The sequence below is a fragment of the Homo sapiens genome, chromosome 21, assembly GCF_000001405.40.
Source record: "Homo sapiens chromosome 21, GRCh38.p14 Primary Assembly".
NCBI lineage: Eukaryota > Metazoa > Chordata > Mammalia > Primates > Hominidae > Homo > Homo sapiens.
In genome coordinates, this window is record NC_000021.9 from 8,310,972 (window position 1) to 8,335,262 (window position 24,291).

The window sequence follows — 24,291 nt, forward strand, 5'->3', positions numbered from 1 at the left end:
GATCTGGGCCCTCTGCAATGTACACTTGAGGCTGCTTCCATGGAGGGAAAGATTTTCTTTTCCCAAATCTTGGATCTGGCTGGCCTTATTTGCTCTGCCTCATTCATACTTTTTGTTCTAATAAAATAATTAAGATGTTTAGCGTCTCATCCCAGCCTTTATCTTGTTAAAACTATATCTTATGATATGTCATCTCTCTTTACTATATTTGGTTATATTCATTCTATTCAATACTCAGGTAATTTTTTATCTCTGTTTAATTTAGTGTTTCACCTATACCTTGTCCTAATTTTTTTATTCTTTACATTCTACCGAGCTGTGATTCAAATATGATATTTGAATATGGAAAATGGTGGCCTAGTTTTTCTTCAGAAATTTCTTTTTATTTACTTGTGTTCTTTAGTTTTTAACTTGGTTCCAATATTTGGGAAATATCACATTTGAGATGTCTGTAGTCATGTTATTTCTGTGCTTATTCCATTTTCCCTTGGAGGAAGGTGGACAGCATACAGACTTGACATCCTTGTGATCTATCAGTATCTGAAGGGACCACTTTTTTTCAGTTTGATTACTTCTCTGGCTTATTCTCTTGATTTACTTTAGCTTTCATCAAGTGCTTCTATATTTTTAAACTGTATTCATTATTTTCATAGTTCTTGTAGCTTCTTGAGAACTTTTACTTGTCTACACTAAAATATTTAAAAATATGTAGCCTTTTCTTCTGAAAGCACAAATATGCAGTGTACACATGAGTAGAATATTTCATAGGCATTGGGCAGCATACAACCACATCTTATGAGATATTCCGTTTCTTCATTCAAAACATCTCTCTCAAATATGTAGTAATAGTCACTTGTAAGGGGTAGTTCTTTTGATACTTAAAATTTTCTTTTATGTGCCTTTATGAAAATATATACTTAACTACAGAGAACAGAACTCTGTGCTTCCTTTTAGTATGTCCTTGACCTCACAAAAATAATTCATGAAATCTTATATTTATTTTATAAATTAATTTAATGAAACAAAATTTGTGCATGGCTAAATATTACTTGTTGAGTACAATTTAGAATTTCTACTGTCATTTTAGTGTCCTAAAAGATATGAGCTGTTGAATTTCTGCTCTCATAAAATGAATGATATTGTTAGGCCTAAACCCTTGCCATTTATTTTCCCCCTCTGTCATACAGTGTGTATCTTTGGTTCACTGCTGAAAAATTTTATTAATTTTTCTCTCTTGCTAGTAGTCATACTTTCTAATAAAGTTATCATTACTTGTGTTTATTTAGTTACTGTATGTTAAACATTTGATTTCTGATGGTCTTAATGTCATTTAATATAATTGTAAATATTTCAATTTGTCATTATTAACAAATTTCTGTATTATATGTTTTAGACTCAGCTATTAAGTATATGTGGGTAAATGACTTAGAATAATTTCTAAAACATTGTAGGGGCTACTAAGTACTAATAACCCTGATTCATTAAATTTTTATTCCTTATAATATTCTTTATTGACTAAATTATTTTGTAATCTTATTTAAATTTATTCTTTTCTTTTCTAAATATTTGTGAAAAAGGGGTTAGGCTAATGTGTCATTTTGATAAAACTTCATGTCAAATGATATGTTTCACTGGTTTCTTTTAGATGTAATAGCTTTTTTGACTCAGGCAATACATGCAAGTATGAAGTATAAAAATTATAGTCTCAATCCTTAAGCTGAGTAAAAACTTGGCTATTTATTGATTTTAACAAAGCTACATTATCCCACATAATACGTAAAACTTTCACAAAGCTACATTATCCCACATAACAGGCATACCAGCTGCCTATATCTGGAAACATGGATTGTTACAAATTAGAAGTAAATAACTTGATAGGCCCAATTTAACAAATGAAGCTCAAGAAGTGGGAGATATGAGACCTATAATGAAAGATTAAATTATTTTAAAAATCTTACCACAAAGAAAAATCAGAGTCAAATACTTTAACTGTTAAATTATACAAAATATTTCATAAAAATACCAATCCTTTACAAATACACACCATACATAGATAAGAGATAAACAACCCCTAACTACTTTATGAGGCCAATATTACTATACCAAAGCCAGACAAACCCATCATGTGTTAGGATTAATATGGGTACATACGGCTGATAAATAAAGACACATAATTCTCAAAAAGTACTAATAAGTTAAATACAGAAACACGTAAAAGTAATTATACACCATGGCCAAGTACAATCTTTTTACAAATGAAGTGGCTTAATATCTAAAAACCAATAATTTAATACACAACATTGATAAAGTGAAGAACATAAAATGATCCTTTTAATAGACACAGAAAAGCTTGTGATACAAACAACACTGATTCATTATAAAATCCTTAACATACTAGGAAGGAAAAACTTACTGGAACTACTAAAAAGGATTCATAAAAATTTCCCACTAATATTACACTTGCTGATGAAAGACTAGGCTCTTTGCCTCACAGTTGTGGGAAACAGATAAGCATGGCTACTTTCGCTACTCTACTAAATTGAACTAAAGGTGTTAGGCAGAGAAATTATATAATAAAAACAAATAAAACTTCTAAATTTATAAAATAAACTTTTATTGTAAATGGCATCAACTTATATTCAAGAATTTTTAAAGAGTTTACAAAAATCAACTGGAACTAATAAATGAGTTCAGCAGGTCACAAGATACAAGATAAATGCACAATATTAAATTGCACTTTTATACAGTAACTAAGGGCAATCAGTAAATAAAATTAGAAAAAATAATTCTACTCATTAGCTCAATGTGTAGTGGCTTAAAATTCCAAATATGCATTATGTCTTATTTTCTGTTGGCTACAAATACTGACACAGCTTAGTTGAATGGGTCTACCACAATGTCCTCATGTGTCCGGAATTGGTCGGTTCTTGGTCTCACTGACTTCAAGAATGAAGCCGCGGACCCTCACGGTGAGTGTTACAGTTCTTAAAGGCAGCGTGCCTGGAGTTTTTCCCTTCTAATGTCAGCATGTGTTTGGAGTTTCTTTCTTCTGGTGGGTTCGTGGTCTTTCTGGCTCAGGAGTGAAGCTGCAGACCTTTGTGGTGAGTGTTACAGCTCATAAAGGCAGTGTGGACGCAAAGAGTGAGCAGCAGCAGGATTTATTGCAAAGAGCGAAAGAACAAAGCTTCCACAGTGTGGATGGGGACCCGAGAGGGTTGCCACTGCTGGCTCGGGCAGCTGCTTTTATTCTCTTATCTGGCCCCACCCACATCCTGCTGATTGGTCCATTTTACAGGGAGCCAATTGGTCTGTTTTACAGAGAGCTGATTGGTCCCTTTTCACAGGGTGCTGATTGATGCATTTACAATCCTTGAGCTAGACACAAAGTTCACCACGTCTCTACTAGATTAGCTAGATACAGAGTGTTGATTGGTGTATTTACAAACCCTGAGCTAGACACGGGGTGCTCATTTGTGTGTTTATAAACCTTGAGCTAGATACAAAGTGTCGATTGGTGTATTTACAATCCCTTATCTAGACATAAAGTTTCTCCAAGTCCCCACCAGACTCAGGAGCCCAGCTGGCTTCACCCAGTGGATCCCGCACCAGGGCCGCAGGTGGAGCTGCCTGCCTGCCAGTCACACGCTGTGCTCCCGAACTCCTCAGCCCTTGGGTTGTCGATGGGACTGGGTGCCATGGAACAGGGGGTGGAGCTCGTTGGGGAGGCTCGGGCCGCACAGGAGCCCTTGGCAGGAGTGGGGGAGAGGCTCAGGCAAGGTGGGCTGCAGTTCCCGAGCCCTGCCCCGTGGGGAGGCAGCTAAGGCCTGGCGAGAAGTCGAGCACAGCAGCTGCTGGCCCAGGTGCTAAGCCCCTCACTGCCTGGGGCTGGCGGGGCCAGCTGGCCGCTCCAAGTGCGGGGCCGCCAAGCCCACGCCCACCCGGAACTCGCGCTGGCCCGGAAGCACCGCGGGCAGCCGCGGTTCCTGCCCGCTCCCCGCAAGATAAGGGAGCCGGCTCCGGCATTGGCCTGCTGAGAAAGGGGCTCCCACAGTGCAGCGGTGAGCTGAAGGGCTCCTCAAGCGCGGCCAGAGTGGGCACCAAGGCTGAGGAGGCACCAAGAGTGAGCGAGGGCTGTGAGGGCTGCCAGCATGCTGTCACCTCTCACTCATGAGACTGAAGCTGTGTCTCAACTGAAGCTTGACTGGGAAGGATGCACTTCTGAGCTCAATCTGGTTAGTTGTGCATTATTGTTTTGACTCAGTTCTTAGTTTCTTTCTGTCTTTGGTCAGGGCACTCTCTCTATTCTCTGTCACACAAGCCTGTAAAAATGAAAGCTTAAAACACTGAAGCTCGCTTCTCCAGAGCAAAGTATGCGACAGACAGAGAGAAAGACAGGAAAAAAGGAAGTAAACAATATCACAAGAGAGAGAAAGTAAGAAGCAAGTGACAATCTTTTCATAATCAAATATTGGCAGTGACATTCCCTATTTTCCAATGTATTCTACTGCCATGAAGTGAGTCACTAACCACTTACTGTTTACATTTGGGTGTGTATAGTTGGAAATAAAAATTATTATGAGCCATCATGAAGGCTGTGCACTACGTATGCCAAGGTGAGACAAATGGGCCTGATTCTAAATATAACGAGAAGGTACTACAATGTGTGTTGTTGTTATTGTTGTTGTTCTGGCCAAAGAATAACAACATCTAAATTTTATTCAATTTCAATGTTTTCATGGTGGAGTTTGAAAAATAAATTCAAGAGGGGACATGACTTTCTCAAGATTCAAGTTATAAAACCCAGGCATGTTTGAGAGATATTCAAGCAATGTCCCATCCCTTGTAGTTTCTTTCTCTAAGTTTATGCAGTAGCTGTGTTTAATATCAAACCCAACAGTCATGCGTATCATTTTATACATATCTCATGAGATCCCTTGCAGCTGGATGCCACCATAATCCCCACTGTGCAGGCTGTGAGACTATGGAGCCCCTGAGAGGCACAATGACATACTTGGCATCACATAATTAATACATTAAACATAAAGACTTTAACTCAGCTTGTATCCTCAAACTTGTGGCTCTGGCTGCATTCCATTTCCTCCGGCACTGGTGCAGGAGGTGCTGTATTTGCATAATTGTGCACAAGTAATCAGATGACTTGGGAGAGAATGGTGAGCAGTCAGCAGTGCAGAAAAGCCTTTGAGTAGGTCTTATTGAAGGAAGATAGGTCTTATTGAAAGAAGAATAATACCTTCAAGAAGTGACCTCATTTCTTTGGTGAAAGGTCCTAACAGTACTAAGTATTCTGGTAACCAAAAACTCACATTCTAAAGACAGTCCACCATGCAGCACTGTTGGCCAGAATCTCTCAAGAGAGAAAGATGTTCTGCTGTATAACAACTTTCTGAGGCTCTTTCTTGTGAGGTTCTGTTCCTCACAAGTAGCACCTTCTAGCTATGTCTTCACACGACAGAAGGGGCATGAATATTCCTTTCAACCTCCGTCACACGGGCACTATTATTTTCTCGTTAACATGCAGCCCTCCTGACTTAATAACTTTCTCAAAGTTCCAATAACTAATAGTATCACACTGAATCCACGTGTGGATTAAGTTTTTAAATATGAATGTGGAGAGTGAGGAACACAAATATCCAGACCATAGCAAAAAGTTAATAAGCAATAACAATTGCAGTGGACAGTATTATTAATGCTTGGGATATGGGAATTTGATGTTTCTATCACAAAGGTTAAACAATGGTTTATCCTTGGCCGGGCATGATGGCTCAAGCCTGTAATCCAAGCACTTTGGGATGTCAAGGCAGGCGGATCACAAGGTCAGGAGATCGAGACCATCCTGGCTAATACGGTGAAACCCCGTCTCTACTAAAAGTCCAAAAACATTGCTGGGTGTGGTGGCGGGCGCCTGTAGTCCCCGCTACTAGGGAAGCTGAGGCAGGAAAAAGGTGTGAACCCAGGAGGTGGAGCTTTCAGTGAGCTGAGATCACACCAGTGCACTACAGCCTCGGAGACACAGCAAGACTCCATCAAAAAAATAAAATTAAATTAAAACATATAACAAAATTAAGGTCCAATTAAAGGTAAATATATATAGCAAAAAAAAAATTCAAGCTCTGATAAGGTTAATTGTAACAGATTGTGCCAGAATTTTGAGATTTCTGGAGATGGACAGAGCCCAAGAGTTTCCTTCTATAACAATTTCTGTGAAGTTTCTTACACTCTTATTCAATTTGAACGTGGATAAATGGGTTTTCTCTGTTTTGTTATTTAAGAGATTCATGATAAGGAAGGCCTATTTATGCATGATTCTTAAACAATTATTGAGTCAGTGGTGTCTGCTGAGGAAGGGCACAGAATCTCATGCCCACAGAAGCATGATGTTCTGTCAGATAGGAGACTTCTCCCAGAGCCAGAACTTCATCTTTCAAATGGAATTAGAGATTTTCACAGGCATACATTGCTCTGAAGCCCTATCAGAGGCTTAGCACTGAGAATATGACCAAAGAAGGTGACTAATAAACATATGACCTAGTACTCTGATCTACAGTGATTCTACCCTCTCAAATAGCTCTTCCCTGGCTCTGGAATCTTTTCTGGATTCATCTACCAGAAACAGATACACTGAAAGATTGAGAAGAAGCTTTTATTCTCACTGTGAGTCTTGCCCTGTCTCACCATCTTCTCTAGAAGTGCAATGTTCTAACTATTCCTGAGAGACTTCATCTCAGGTAGCTCTCTCTGACAACATAATTGAGAAGAGAAACGAGCAAGACTCAGATTATTTTGAAGGCTTGTCTAGGGTTCTTACATGATTTATGTCTCCAATTTATGTCAATATTGACAAATATAGATTCATCTCTAGATGGTAGAAAAACAGAAGGAGGAGCCTCTGCTCACAGAGAAAATAAAAGATGAATTCAATGTTTTGTAGAGCCAGCTTATTTTAAACCATGGGGCATTTAATCTTTTTAGAAAAAAACAAAAGCAATAGGGTTTTTTGTTTTTGTTTTTGCTTTTGCTTTTGTGTTTTCGTTTTGGTTTTTTTTTGTTTGTTTGTTTTTTCCCTGAAGCAACTCAACTGTGGCCTCAGACAACTGGGCACTGAGAACGCATGCTCCTCACTAGAATTTCATTACTACATTGCAGAGAAATGGGATAATTACAAAGGATTTTTTTTTTTTTGAGATGGAGTCTTCCTCTGTCATCCAAGATGGAGTGCAGTGGCATCATCTCAGCTCACAGCAACCTTGGTCTCTCAGGTTGAAGCAATTCTCCTGCCTCAGCCTCCCAAATAGCTGGGACTACAGGCATGTGCCACCTTGCCTGGGTAATTTTTATATTTTTAGTACAGACTGGGTTCCACCATGTTGGCCAGATGGTCTCGATTTCCTGACCTCGTTATCCACCCTCCTTGGTCACCTAAAGTGCTGGGTGTGAGCTGCTGTGCCCAGCCCAAAGGATTCTTAAGGGTGATATGGGGGATGGAATGGAAAAAATAAACTTAGTCTTTGCACTTCCACCTGGTCTAACTAACCCTACTCTCATCCTATCCCAAAATTATTGCCAGACTTTTCTGGAGTGTGCCAGGGGCAATTCAGAAGGAAAAGAGGTTATTCATGCCTATCCATTTCCCATAGCTCCTGAGATCTAAGTCGTTCACTCCCCTGGTTTCAGGTTGTTGCTCCCCTTCTATATCCTCAGAATTAATGTGATCCATTCCAATACTTATAATTGTACCTTTATCTGATCCCCTCCTATTTTGCTGTAGACATTTTATGTAGTAGATCCAGTTGTAATAGAGACAAGAATGTTTATATACACCATAATCAGAACTAAATTGGAGTTCCATAACCCCTTTTTTGACTGGGCTGCTACTCAGAAATCATACAAACCAGGCTGCCTGGAGGTTGCAGTTAGGAGAAATCACATCTTGCCCAGGAATGTCAGTGTGGAAACTCAGATTTGGAAAATAGATTCCTATAGCCCCAATCATTTTGCAACACTTCTGCAGAGTTAAAAGAAAGCCAGTATCTAACAGAAAATCTTGAGCTTGCAGAATAACAGAAAAGAAAAAAAAAACAAAAACACAACTTGCCAAAACACTGAAACTCCCTCTACTTATGAAATAAACAAACTGGCTTAAATTGGTGGAATCATTATGGCCAAATGGTGTTTTGGCAGAATCACCTTGCTGAGGTCACCGTCTGAATTTTCACTGCCTGTTTCATCACAACTCCCCTTCAGTTTGCCCATGACATCCATGAGGAGGCAATGAGCTTGAGAGTAACGTTTCAGTATAAAATTGCTTTCTCTTAAAAACCTGATGTCATAGTATTGGCTTCTAGCACTTCAAGAAGTGAGCTCCTTTTACTCAATAACAATGTTATCTATATCTTAGAGACAGTCAACAGGAGATAATCTCTTCTGGGACCAAAGAAGGTGACTAATAAACCATTTAATCAACACATTACCTAACCAAAAGCTGTGGACCCTGATGAGGAAAATAAGTTAAAATGAGACTATTGGCTCATTTTAATAGATATGGTGATAAAAGCAAAAAAAAAAAAAAAAAAAGAGAGAATTTAAGCGGTCTCAAATACCTAAAAGATGACATGGATTAGCTTCAAGTAACACATAATGTGGCTGGAGTCAGCTGATCTTTATGCTGAAAGTGTCAACAGTAGTGACAAATACTTCAAGTAACGGGTCAAAAGTCTAAGACAGTCATTCTGCCAGAAATGGTCTGGGACTTCCCCATACATGGGACACGTAGATCAACTTTCTCCAAGAACCACCAACCTGGCATGCAGTGATGACCTCTGCAGTAGACAGGGATTTAGGCTTGATTGTTGTTCATCTCTTTGGAGACATAACCCTAATTGTGAACTTCTAAATTAATGGCCTGACAATTAGATCAGCAGCTAAGATAAATTTCAGTTTGCAGCCCCAAAGAAGATGTTCTTAATTAGACAGTTAATCATTTTCAATATGGAAGCCTAAACACGTAGAATGTGGCAATAACCCGGAACTCTCAGTTCTGACAATTGAGTGAAGTAATCACCCCAGATTCAGGTTCCTCATTGGCTGACAATGAGATCAAACACCCACACCAGCCCAGTGAACACCATGAGGTGTCATCTTCCCTGGCCCATTAGTGAACCAGGAACAGATATTTAGAAAATATTCAGTAAATTGGGGAGTCCCACAGAGTCAGAAAGTTTGCTTGAGATAGTAGAGGGTGGCATAAAATTTCTACCGAATATGAATTTTAATTTTTACTTTAGTGCCGTTTCTATTTTAGTCTAATTTCCTTCTAGAATATGTTATTTCTATTTACCAAGTGGCCTCCTGTGGTCTTTTTCATAGAGTTCAAATCGACCCATCTAAAAACAGAAAGATCAAGCTAACGACCTCCCTCAGGGGTCAGAATTCAGTTTCACAGCTCTGTAGCAAGCTCATTGTTGACTTACAAATTAGTGTAACCAATAGTAACGTCATGGTGACCATAACTCCAACATCCCAAAAAGTACCTCAAGTTAGAGGCTGACTTCATTTATCAGAGGATTCAAATGGCAAAATCAAGCTTTACTAGATCACTGGATTACTGGAAGAAGTGAGCAATGCGAATCTGCAATATAGTTTCACTAAACTTTAATAGGACAGCAAGACTGTAGATATTTTAGCCCTCTCAAAATATGAATCTTCTGATCCTTTCATCTAGAATCTCTATGTGTGCCATAAAGTCCTAACTCTGCTTGTGCCTATACTTTCTGTTCATGCAGAGATTAAAAGACAAACAGGTGGGAGCTTAGTGTTTTAGCGTTTTTCCTGAGAATCTGTCTAGCCTAGAGCATCCCCATTTTTTTCTAGATTCCAAGGAGTACTATCACTATCCTAATTCTCAGTGTCTTGTTTCCAAGTATTTCCTCCTACGATTGTCAGCGTGACTACCTTTTTACCCCACTGATAGTGTTTGCTCCAGGTGAACTGGGTAGTTCATTTTTATTTAAATGCTTCCATAAGCGTTAAGCTATTAATTTAAGATTTCTTTGTTTTTTATAAAGTAATTCTGCTGTTTCCCTCAGAGCTCAACTTTCACTAAGTCTCATAAATTTTATTATGTTTTGTCTAAATGTCTATTTATGTTAAAATATTCTCTGACACTATTTGTACATTTTTTATTCATTAATTATTTAAGATTGTGTCATTTAATGCACACATGTTTGCATTTCCCAAATTTCTTGCTTTTTTGGTCTCTAATTTTCTCTTTTGTGATTAGAAAACATTCATTTTATTATTTCAATCTTTCAATTTTATTGATTTTTTTTATGATGCAGCATATTCTCCATTCTAGAGAATGTTCTATGTGCATTTGGGAAGAATATACATTCTGATTTGGGGTGAAGAGTTCTCCATATATCTCTAGTTTTATTTGGTTTATGTTATTCATGTCTTCTATTTCCTTGTTTCTCTTATGTCTAGTTCTTCTACCCAATAGTGTAAGTGGGGAAGTGAAGCTTGCAATTTTTATTGTTGAAACTATTGTTGCAACTATTTCTGCCTTTATTTCTATCAGTTTTGCTTTATGTACTTCTGTGAACTTTTGTTACATTCATATATGTTAATTTATTTTCCTCATGAATTTATCCTTCTAATTATAATCTATCTTCATCTCTAGTAATAGTATTTGTTGTCTTAAAGTATATCCTAATTTTTTTATTTTTGGTTTTTCTGGGTGCATAGTAGGTGTATACCTTTATGAAGTATATAGAATATTTTGATACCGTCATACAATGTGTAATAATTACATCAGAGTCAATGGGGTATTCATCACATGAAGTATTACTATTGGATTTCAAATAACCAAATTATACAATTTCTGTTATTTTAAAATGTACACTTAAATTATTCTTAACTAGAGTCACCTTGTGCTGTCAAATGCTAGAACTGATTCATTCTTTCTAACTATATTTTTATACCCATTAACCATTCCCACCTCCCCGCCCTCAACCTTCTACTACTTCTCTCAGCCTCTGGAGACCATCATTCTACTCTTTATCTCCATTAATTCTTTGGTTTTAATTTTTAGCTTTAACAAATAAGTGAGAACGTGTGAAGTTTGTCTTTCTATACCTGGCTTATTTCACTTAATAAAATGACCTTCAGTTTAACCCATGTTTTTACAAATGACAGAATCTCATTCATTTTTATGTCTGAATAGTACTACATTGTGTATATGTACCACTTTTTTGTTTATTCATCTGTCGATAAACACCTATGTTACTTCCAAATCTTGGCTATTGTGAATAGTGTTGCAGTAAACACAGGAGTACAGCTATCACTTCAATACACAGATTTTTCTCTCTTTTGGATATATACCTAACAGTGAAATTGCTGGATTGTACAGAAGCTCTATTTTTAGTTTTCTGATGAACCTTCAAGCTGTTCTCCATAGTGGTTCCACCAACTTACATTCCCACCAACAGCATATGAGGGTTCCCTTTTCTCCGCATGCTTGTCAGCATTTGTTATTGCCTTTTAGCTAAAACCCACTTTAACTGGGGTGAGGTAATAGCTCATTGTAATTTTGATTTGCATTTCTCTGATGATTCATGATGTTGATCATCTTTTCATATACCTATTTGCCATTTGCGTGTCTTTATTGGAGTAATGTCTGTTTACATATTTTGCCTATTTTTTAAAATAGGATTATTAGATTTTATTTTCTATAGAGTTATTTGAGCGCCTTCTATGTTTTGGTTACAAATCCATTTTCAGATAGGTAGTTTGAAAATATTTTCTTTCATTCTGTGGGTTGTTTTCTGACTTTGTTGATTCTTTTCTGTGCCATGCAAAATTTTATAACTTGGTGTGATACCAATTTTCCATTTTGCTTTGGTTGCCTGTGCTTGTGAGGTGTTACTCAAGAAATCTTTGCTTAATCCAAGGTTTTTTAGAATTTCCCCAATGTTTTCTTTCAGAAGTTTCATAGTTTGCAGTTTTACATTTAAATATTTAATCCATTTTGATTTAGTTTTTGCACATGGCAAAAGATAGAGGTCTAGTTTTATTCCTCTGCATATGGATATCCAGATTTACCATCACTGTTTATTGAAGAGACTGAGTTTTTATTCTTAATATATTTTCTTGGTGCCTATGTAAAAAATGAGTTCACTGTAGATGGATGGTTTGGTTCTGGGTTCTCTATTCTGCTCCATTTTCCTGTGTGTCTGTTTTTATGCCAGTACTATGCTGTTTTGGTTACTACACATCGGTAGTATAATTTTGTGTAATGTAATAATGTATGCTATGTAATGGGATTCCTCCAGTTTTATTCTTTTTGCTCAGGATAGCTTTAGCTATTCTAGGTCTTTTGTGATTATATATAAATTTAAGATTTTTTAGAGCTGTTGTATTTATTTGTGTGAGGAATGTCAATGGTATTTTTACAGAAATTGCGTTGAATCTGTAGCTTGCTTTGTGTAGCATGGACATTTTAATATTGATTCTTCCAATCCATAAACACAGAACACTGACTAATACAATCTGCAAATGGGTAGTTTGACTTCCTCTCCTCTTATTTGAATGCCTTTATTTTTTTCTCTTGTCTGATTGCTCTGGCCAGGATTTTCAATACTATGTTGAACAGGGCTGGTAAGAGAGGGCATCTTTGTCTTGTGCCAGTTTCCAAGAAAAATGCTTCCAGTTTCACCCATTCAGTATAAAGTTGGCTGTGGGTTTGTCATAGATGACTTTTATTATTTCAAAGCATGTTTCCTCAATACCTAGTATATGGAGAGTTTTAACATAAAGTGGTTTTGAATTTTAATGAAAGCTCTTTCTGCATCTATTACAATAATCATGAGGTTTTTGTCTTTCGTTCTGTTTGTATTATGAATCACATTTATTGATTTGCATATGTTGAACCAACCTTGCATCCCAGGGAAAAAGCCTACTTGATTGTGGTGGATAGGCTTTTTGGTGTGCTGCTGGATTTGGTTTGCCAGTATTTTATGGAGAATTTTTGCATCAATATTCATCAAAGATATGAAATTTTTCTTTCTTTTGCTTTTCTTCCAGGTTTTGATATCAGAAGGGTGCTGGCCTCATAGGATGAGTGAGGAAGATGATCCTCCTCAAATTTTTGGGAGTTTCAGTAGGAATGATACCAAATTCTTCTTTGCATATCCAGTAGAATTTGGCTGGGAATTCGTCTTTTCCTGGGCTTTTTAAAATTGATAGTCTATTTATTACAGATTCAATTTTGGAGCATGTTATTGGTCTGTTCAGGGATTCAATTTCTTCCTGGTTCAGTCTTGGAAAGGTGTACATGTCCAGGAATTTATCTATTTGTTCTAGGTGTTGTAGTTTTTTTGCATAAAGGTGTTCATCATATTCTCCGATGTTTATTTCTATTTCTGAGGAGCCAGTGGTAATATCCCCTTTGTTGTTTCTGATTGTCTTTGTTTGGATCTTCTCTCTTTTCCTCTATATTAGTCTAGCTAGTAGTCCACATTTAAAACAAAACCTACTCCTGGATTCATTAATCTTTTAGTTTCTTTGTGTGTGTCCTAATCTCAGTTTATCTCTGATTTTGGTTATTTCTGTCTTCTTCCAGCTTTGGGGTTGGATAGCTCTTCATTCTCTAGATGTTTTAGTTGTGATATTGAGTGGTTAAATTGAGATCTTTGTTACTTTTTGTGGTGGGTGTTCAGCAACATCAGTTTTTTTCTCAACACTGATTTAGTTGCATCTCAGGGATTCTGGTAGGTTGTGTCTTTGTTCTCATTACTTTCAAATAACTTTTTGATTGATGCCTTAATTTCATTATTCACACAAAAGTCATTCAGGAGTGAGTTATTTAATTTTTATGTAATCATATGGTATTGAGTATTGGTTTTCTCAACTTTTACCTCCAATTTTACTGTACTCTGGTCTCGGAGAGTGGTTGTCATAATTTGAATTCTTTTATAATTTCTGAGAACAGTTTTATGTCGATTAAGTGGTTGATTTTAGAGTATGTGCCATGTGGCAATGAGAACGTATATGTTGTTGTTTTTGGTGGAGAGTTCTGAAAGTGTCTGTTACATCCATTTGATCCAGTGCTGCATTCAGATCTTGAATATCTTGTTAATTTTCTGCCTTAATAATCTAATATTGTCAATGGGTTGTTGAAGTTTTTCACTATAATTGTGTAGGAATCTAAGTCTTTTTAAAGACCTCTAAGAACTTGCTTTATGAATTTGGGTGTTCCTGTGTTGGGTGTGTATATATTTAAAATGTATATATTTAAATATGAATACATATATTCTTGTTGAATTTAACCCTTTAGCATTTTGTAATGCCTTTTTGCCTTTTTAAATCTTTGTTGTTTTAAAGTCTGTTTGTCTAAACTTAGGGTTGCAACCCATTCTTTCTGCTGTTTTCCATTTGCTTGGTAGATTTTTATCCCGTCATTTTCAGCCTATGAAACTGATTGCATGTGAAATGAGTCTTGATGACAGCATATCATTGGTTCTTTGTTCTTTATCCAGTTTCCCACTGTTTGCCTTTTAATTGGAACATTCAGCCCATTTACATTCATAGTTAGTGTTGATATGTGTGCATTTGATGCTGCCATTATAATGGTAGCTGCTTATTATGCAGACTTGTTTGTGCGCAACTGGTCTGTATACCTCAGTGTGTTTTTTTAGTGGCTAATAAAGGTTTTTTTCACCTATATTTAGTTCTTCCTTCAGGAGCTCTTGTAAGGCATGTCTTGTAGTAATGAATTTCCTCAGCATTTGCCTGTTTAAAAAGAACTTTATTTCTCCTTTACTTATGAAGCTTAGTTTGGCCAAATACGAGATTGTTGATTGGAATTTATTTTCTTCAAGGAGGTTAAATATTGGTATTGGTCTCTTCTGGCTTGTAGGATTTCTGCTAAAAGGCGTACTTTTACACTGATAATCTTTCCTTTGTGGTTGACCTCCCTTTCCTCTCTAGCTGCATTTGACATTTTTTCTTTTATTTCATGCTTGAACAATCTGATAACTATGTGTTTTGGTGATTATTATATTATGAAGTATCTTACTGGAGTTTTCTGCATTTCCTAAATTTGAATGCTGGCCTCTCTAGCCAGCATTCCCCAGGTTGGGGAAGTTCTCATGAATGATATCCTAAAATATGTTTTTCAAATGGCTTCCATTCTCCCCACCTGTTTCATGAACACCAGTGGGTCATACCTTTGGTCTCTTTACATAATCTTATATTTTTCAGAGGCTTGGGGGTTTTTATTACTCTTTTTTATTTCTGTCTGTATGTCTTACTTCACATAAACAGTCTTCAAACTCTGAGATTCTTCCTTAGCTTTGTCTATTCTACTATTAATAGTTGTGAATTTCTTATAAAAAAATTTAGTGTGATTTTTTTAGCTCTCTCAGGTTAGTTATGCTCTTAATACTGGCTCTTTTGTCTCTCAGCTCCTGTATCATTTCATTATGATTCTTAACGTTTTTGAATTGAGTTTCAAGTTACTTCTGCATTTTAATGATCTTTATTTCTATTCATATTCTGAATTTGATTTCTGTAATTTTAGCTATCTTGGACTGATTTATAACCTTACTGGAGAGGTACTGTGACCATTTGAAGGAAAAGAGGAACTCAGGTTTTTTGAGTTGTCAGAGGTTTTGTGCTTGTTCTTTCTTATCTTTCTGGGGTGATATTTCTTTAATATTTGAAGTTGTCAACTTTTGGATTTTTCCTTTTATTCTGCTTGATGACCTTAAGGGTTTAATTGTGTTATAAGGTTGGCTCAGTCAAGTGGTTTTGTGTGTATTCATGCAGGCGAAGGTGGCTGCTCAGGGCTGAGGAGAGTATGCTGTTTTTTGTGCTTAGTTGTACTCAAATGACAGTGTTGACAAAGGAGCAGGGTGCTGGTGTTGTGGGGCAGATGGCCTCTGTTTCCCCCAAGATTCTGTCTGCAGTGGTGGTATAGCAGGAGAGGGGGCCTGGAGTACACTCCTACCAACAGCAGTGCCAGGGCAGAATGCATATGCACATGTGCACTGACAGGACAGGGAAAGCAAGATCCTTCCATGCACACACACACACACACACACACACACCAGCATAGTGATGTGTGGGGTGGCAATGGGCCTTGGGGGGAAGCTGCAGTGAGGAGAGGCAGCAGGCAGGCTGATGCCTGGATGGGGTCACCCCACTGGAGCTGTCTACTAGTCAGACATGATCTGCCAGTTCAGGATCTATGATGCAGGCCCCCAGGGTACTCAAGGCTGCACTGCAAGCATGCAGGGCCGAATTGGGGTCGCAGGAGAGGCCAGCACACCAACGCAAGCTCAGGTCAAAACAGCCCCATCTGATGGGCCACCACCCTGCAGACTTTTTGTCCAAAATTTCCCCTAGGGCTAACGTCTCTTATGGGAGCAAGTTAAGCTTATTGGTGTGGGCATCCCTGGACATGCTTCACTACACATGTTCCCACAATAAACCCTCTTGGCTGTGCACTGGCTGGTGTGCTGCCCCTGTCACTTCTCTAAGCAGCTCTTCCTTTCAACTCATTTTCCATGATGGTCAGAGGGTCTCTGCCAGTGGGATTCCAGAGGCCAGTCAGGAAAGCAGGTAGCTCCTTGCCACTTAAACTCACCTGTTTTTCTCAGAGTCACTGGGGGCCAGAAATCAGTTCCACTGTGCTTTAGCCCTGTGCAGGGTTCCCAGCTTCTGAATCTTAAGTTCAGATGTTGTGTCTTTCCTCCATCACTATCAGTACCTGCCCTCGGTTAAGAGTGTGCCAGTCATCCTGGTCCCTTGGTGTCAGCTGTTCCACCTTGGTTTGTCTATTCAGCCATCTTGCTCAAATACACAAAGTCTTATAAATCAATAATAAATAGACAATTGACTACTTGAAAAATGTGCAAGGAATTTGAATTAAAAATTTCTACAGATAAGAAGCAAAATTTGTCATTAAATTTAAAATATGTGACATTATTAGTTTAGAGAAATGCAAATCAAAAGCTCAATGACATACTTACTAGAAGACCTGTAAAAGGCAATAAAAAAGGTTGCCAAAGATATCAAAAATATGAAAGCCTCACACATTGTATGTGGGAGTGTAAAAAACAACCGATTTAAAGAACAATTTGGCAATTATTCAAAATGCTATAAATAGTATCACCATATGACTGAGACATTTTACTCTGTTACGTACTCAAAAGAAATGAAAACCTATGACTACACAAAGAATCAGATGTAAATGATCAAAGGAGCAGTATTTGTAATAGCCCAAAGGGGATAAAACCAAAATATCCATCAAATAATAACAGAAAAAATAACGTGTGGTGTGTCCATACAATAAAATACTATGTGCCAAACAAAGAAAATGAAGTAATAATACCTGCTATGTCAGGAAAAAACCTCAAAATCACTAAAGTAAGTAAAATAAACCAAATGCAAAAGGGCAGATAATTTATGATTTCACTTAAAATAACTTTTAATAAAAGGCTTATATATAAAAACAGGCTAATGATTGCCTATGACCAGGGTAATGAAATCAGTAAGTACAAAAGAGATTAATTTCTTTTTCCATAGTGATAAGGTGATTTCAAAATTAGATTGTGGTTATGGGTGTCTGTAAATACACTTTAAGAACTTGGAATTGTACACTTAAAACATGTGATGGTTTTGTTATAAGATTATATCCCTCTAAAATGTTTCCAAATGAAACTGTTGACTTTTGGAGAACTAAGTCACAGACTGTAAAACCAAACCCATTTATTGTTCATCTCAAGGCATGTTAAATAAAGAGGAAAAGACAAAGATATAGTTATAACATTAAAATCTTCATGGCAAATAGTTATAAGAAAAAAATTACAATTGTAAAATGTATTAATAGACATAAATTACCTGCTTAGATTTACCAGGCCAGAAATGTAAATTAAATAATAGTACACTATTGAAGACCACTCTGAGTCACTGATTATTAGAAACTTGTTATGATGTCATCATAAGGTTAAAATATTCCTTATCAAAAATGACTCACAGCAAAAATGTTAAATAAAGTGTGTTAGTGGCACCCCTGTCCACAGTTGCTGGTACTTTTAGTGTATGGCCAATTAGAAAGCTGCTCTTTTGTCCCTCATTTGTAACCAATTTCAACACTCAAATTCAATATTGAACTCCTAAATTTATTGATAAAACATGTGAGAAGATGTTTAAATTATATATTTAAAAGATATTATGAAAATAAAAAATCTTAGCAAACATAGGGAGAATTATAAACTAACATTTATCATACATACCCACCACAAGGCTTCAGCAATTCTCACATTTTTTATCTTTCATTTTTAATTATCAACTTCAATTATTCTGGTAATATTTTCAAGTAAGCATATTATGTTGTCAGTTTGTAGAAATTTGAGTACCTATATCTAAGAAATAAAAAGAAAAATAAAAATAGTACTATAAAATCTAAGTAAATACAAGTATTTTCTAATATTGTACTAAAGAGTTTCTTGATTCTTTACGTGCAAAACAGTAGAACTTAGCAACCTCCAAGACTTTATGAGAAATAACAATTTAAGACTAATATTTATCCTGGAGACTCAAAGTGACTATAAATAAATATATCTTTAGTTAATAAAGCTTAAAAATAAAGTATTAATAAAAACACATTTTGAAGATGGCTGACACCTTTGTTACTAGACATGGGGCTTGTGCTGTAAATAACTAGTTTAAAAGTCCATGGAAAAGGGATTTTCAACCAAAAAGTCTATAGAAAACAAAAAATTTTGGTTTTTCTGAACTCAGGATGTGAGGCCAGCTTTTAAAGCACTGAATTTAAAAAGCCCTCAAGACCCTAAGCTTGATAAGCACGTCACCAGCAGGTCTCATTTTTCAGCTCTGTGCACCAGGTGGCATGTCTAGCAAAATGTCCCCTCTCATGTCAGGTTTTTTCTATGAACTCAGAATGACCACTGTCCCTTAGTATGCAGCCCTGCAGTGGACCCAAAAATGACAATCAATCAGGTCCAGAGTTGCTCATTATGGCCTTTCCAGAATGTAATTATCTAAGGACAATTCTCCCCCTTGTAAAATTAAGAAAGTATCAGAATATTTGCCTAATTTTTGATAACATCATACTGTGAGCCACAAAAAAGCAAGAATTTAAAATGTAAGGGATTATCTGGATCCTAGGGCACAGAAATACACCTCAAATAGAATAGTTTCACACACGATTTTATATGTGGACTTCCTGTGTGGAAGAAAAGAATGTGGGGGTCAATAGTAGAGAAGTCTGTATGTAGTGGAATTTTAAGAAATCAGAGAGGCCGATGGGGTTCAGGAGGGTATTTATTAATTATTTAGGTGCACTGGTCCAGTGGATTAACATCCAAAGAATGAGTCCTGAACAAAGAGTTAAGTTACCTTTTAAGCATTTCATGGGTGGGGAGAGATTTGTGCAGGGAGAATCATACTACAGAAGCAAGAAACAAAGACAGTTATTCAATTGAGACATGCATTACATTATTTCTTACTTTTCAAGGAAAAACCTGTTTTGTGACTTGAATTTATCTGTCTAGTGACCTTGCAGCTTCACAGCTTGGGAAACAGGGTCTTCACAATCCCTGGGAAAGGAGGAGAGATAAGGATCACTAGCCACAGAAAAACAGGCAGTTAGTTTTTAAAGGACTCCAGCTCTTACTCTTTCTCAACAGAAGTTGGGTTTTCTTACACACAAGTGAGTTTCTGCTTACACACTCTTTAATCTCTTATAATTCCTGTTCCATTCTCCCCATTGGTGCTTTTTATAACAGAGGTGTTAATAGAAAGCACCATTATTTGCCAAGTCTTCATGGAGCTGAGCTTTTTCTTCTTCTGGCGGTGGCTGATATCTGGTTAATGCATCAACTGTACAGACTGTACAGTAGTGTTTTGGGCTACCATTGCCTCCATAGTTGACTGAATACTCCTAATAAACAGAGACAAAAGGCAAGGGAGGATAAGGCAGATGCAAAGAATAAGCAAGAACCTACTAATGAGGGTTTAGAATTTTTCAAATGCTGAGAACCATCCTCCAAACAAGGAATCCGGGGACTACCTGGATCAAGTCTGAAGTGGAACCTGGGCCAACTTGTGCATTCTAGCTGTAATTTTTATGACCACTAATATTGATTTCTTGGCTATTGATTTCTAGGCAACAGTTGGTTAAATTAAATTTTCTACATATTCCTCCTTCGGAGGATAAGAGATAATTTAAAGCCAGCCTATTTTGATATATAGCATTTCCTTTTTGTGTTGCTTGTATTGCCAATAAATCTAGTGCCCTCGATATTTCATTGGTTATGATTTGAAGGACTGCCTGCAACTTCATGATGCGGCTGAGGATATAGATTATGGTGCAGTACCCTCATGACCTGTCTTGCACCTAGGTAGCTGGCCCATAGCATGTCATGATTCTTTCAGGAGGTCATTTATTATCTTTTTAGTCTCCTGTGTCCACATCTTTTTTGATATTTTTGTTACTTTTGTGATTATGCTTTTTCTAGTTCTTCTTTTATTTTTATTATAAACTGGATATTCTAAGAATTTCCCTTGCTTTAGAGGAATTAGAAAGAAGGATGGCTTGATTGCTTTTAACAGACATGTCCCTGCCCATTTTGCTGGCAGTTGCCAATATGCCCATGCTCCACAGATCCAATATAGGCCAGAGGGTGCCTTTCAAGCATTTGAATCATCTACCTGATGCCAAGTGCAGCTTAGAGTAAGGAATCCAGAGAAAGTGTTTGGATCTGGTAAGTAGGAGTCATTCTGGGCATTTCTTCATAGAGTTTTGTTTTTAGTCTCGTAATAATACTGTTGCCCTAGGAAGGTTGTTTTTCCTACTGCGTCTGTGAAAGCCTTTCCCCATCGAGTGATACAGTACTTTCCAGTTATGGAGATTTTTAACAATCAAACACTGGCTGAGGCTGTTGGTTCACTGGCAGGGTTAAGCAAAGTGAAGTTATCTTGTGGCATTAATTCCTTTGCCTCCCATTGCCACTCATTCTCCATATTAGTTTCTCTACATACATAGCATGAAGAAATTTTTAAGCTGCCATCTGTGTTTTCAGCTAGTTGAGCAAATAAGTTTTTGGTTGATGGGGGAACCTCGGGCACTGGCTGATCAAAATGCTTACAGAATGACTTGGTATTGAGGGGTTGGATGCATTTGAGTCCTTATAGTATTTTTGACAATTAGTAGTGGAACTCCAAGACCTGCTCCTTGTCTATCAACTGGTAATAGTGCTGTCTGTCCTGTAGACCAAAAAGGTAGCTCTGGCTTTAAGATAGTAAAATTTAAAGGATCGCATGTCCTTGTCTTACAATCTGGTTTTTAGGATTATGAACATACGTGGCATGGCAGTCATCAAAGAAGAAATAGGCCCTTTTTAGAAGGGTGGGATTTCTTTGGTTTGAGCTATAAGCTTTCCTTCTGTTTCTCCCTCTGATATAATATTTACCTCAAAATAGAATTAATAGGGTAAGAGCCCAGGCTCATAACATACATATAGCTGATTATTTCCTCAGTCACAGACTGAATAGGTGGTCTGGTTGTATATGCATATTCCTAATTTGCTTCCTGTACATTCATAGTAGGTATGGTACAGTAGAGTTTTAACTGTGGTATTTTTTATCCAGGTAATGTGTACACAGCATGGACATCCTTCAAGAGATTTATCCCCTTTCAGTATAAGCATAAATGGTAACAACATTGTTGTATGTAATAGAAACATGCTTACACTACACATGGGCACAAAAACTTTCCTCTGGGCATAGACATTTGCAGCATTTGCAGTAATAACATAACAACGGAACAATCAGTATTGACAGAATTGTAACTATGGTTATAAATTGTATTCACATTTACTTATCTGGACATGGTCCTCTTAGCTTCGGCTGTGTGTACACTAGTCAGCTTCCGGGATGTGACTAGAGCAGAGTTTGAAGAATCCTTAAGCTTCAGCCATGCTTAGACTGACCAGCCTCCAGTGTGGTCAGAGCAGGGCGGTTGTCCTTTTTACCGGTGGCTGAGATTTGCCATAGGGCTATTCGAGTGGGGCAATCTGGGTCTTGTTGGCTAATCCACAGGTTGTCATCACGACTCGCTACTGTCACTGGTTTTAGATGGCTATGGTGAATCCAAGGTGTGGCACCTGCAACTTTAACAGCAGTGGGAGTAGACATGATTACAATATGGCGCCTATCGTATATGGGTCCTAGAGTGGTTGAATTCCATTTTTTACCTAAACGAAGTCCCTAGGTTTGAAAGGGTGTACTGGGTCTGTTAGACTTATAGGCATTTTTTTACATACTTAACCATGCATTTTAGTATAGCCATACTTAAAGCCTGCATTTGCCTTCTTAAAGTTAGTTTTCCCAATTTACAGAGATTACCCTGAATCTGATTTTTCTGGGGGGTGGGCAGCTGAACAAAATCTCAGAGGGCGAATACTCAGTTTTTTGGTGGGGGTGCACCTGACTCATAAGAGGACCATGGGCAAGACCTGATATTACTTCAGATGAGTTTTTCGACAAAATTTCTTCAACAGCTGCTTGAGTGTCCAGTTTATGCTCTCCACTTTACCTGAGATCTGCTACCTGTAGGCTGTATGTTATTTCCATTTTATTTTTAATAGTCGAGTTAAGTCCTGAACTATTTTAGCCACAAATGTTGGTCCATTCTCTGATCTTAGAGTTAGAGGCAGCCCAAATCTGGGAACAATGTCTCTTAACGCCTTGGTCACGTCTAGTGCCCTCTCTGTCCTGGTGGGAAAGGCCTTGAGCTATCCTGAAAAGGTGCAAATGAACACCAATATGTACTGATAGCCCCCGTCTCAGGGTCATTCAGTGAAGTCCATTAGCAGTTTTTCACAGGGCATGGCTCCTTTTTCCTGAACTCCCATGGGCCGAGTAGGATCTTGTCGTGGATTGTTCCGAGTGTAAGTTAAACACAGTTTACAAATGGCCCGAGTAATAGCAATGAGCCATGGCAGATAAAAATGATGCCTTAATAATGTCTTTATTTTTTTTTTAATCTGAGTTCGGTGGTGGAATTGTTTTACAAATCTGGGGGTCACCATTTCAGGTATGGCTAGCCTCCCATTGAAGAATTTGTATTATCCTCTTTCAATGTAGTTCTTATTTTCCTGGGGAAGCCAAGCTCTGTTATTTGGAGTGAAGATTGGGATCTCCAGGAGGGGAATCTCCGGGAGGAGAGGCATAGCTAAGGCATCTTCTTTAGGTGGAGTTGTCATTGCAGCCTTCTTTGCCTCTTTGCCTTCGTATCTTTTTTAGCCCTTAGTGTTCTTGCTTTTTGCTGCCTCTTGCAGGACTTCACTACCGTCACTTTTGGGGCCCATACAGCGTTTAAGAGCTGTAGGATTTCTTCCTTGTACTTTATTTCTTTGTTTCCGCAGTTAAAAGTCTTCTTTTTTTCTTTGTAAATAACCTTATGAACATGCAAAGTGGCAGAAGCATATTTGGAACCTGTATAAATATTGGTCTTTTGGTCTTTTGCTAGCCAGAGAACTCTTGTCAGAGCTCTTAGTTCTGCTTTCTAATCAGAAGTTTCTGTAGATGAAGACTGCACCTCTACTGTTGAGTCTAAAGTCACCACTGCATACACAGCTTGGCGGGCTCCTTTTAGTATGAAACTGCTTCCATCAGTAGAATATTCAATGTTTGGGTCCCTGAGGGACTGATCTGTCAAATCTCTCTGGCTTGAGAACACTTCATCTACCACGTCCACACCACAATGAAACGGTCCTCCTGGCACTGACTCGATGAGAGTAAGGTAGCCGGATTTAGGGTATTCACAGTCTCTAAAGTTAGTTTACTAGCTTCCTGCACCAGTACGGCAGTGGCTGCTAGTGCTTTAAGACAAGGAGGCCATCCAAGTGCAACAGAATCTAATTGCCTGGATAAATATGCCACCAGGCGATGCCATGACCTTATGGCTTGAGTCAGAACCCCTATGGCCTCCCTTTCACTTGTGGACATACAAGAAGAAAAGCTTGATTAGTTAGATCTGGCAGTCCTAAAGCTGGGGCCTGAGTCAAGGCTTCTTTGATTTCTTTAAAATCCTTCTCCTCTTTGGCCTCCTAGAGGAGGGGCTCCTTTTTTCCTCCTCTTAGTGGCTTGGTATGATGGCTTGACCATGAGCAAGAAATTTGGGTTGTAAACGCGGCAGAACCTTGCTGCTCTTAGAAACTCTCTTACTTGACACCGGGTGGTTGG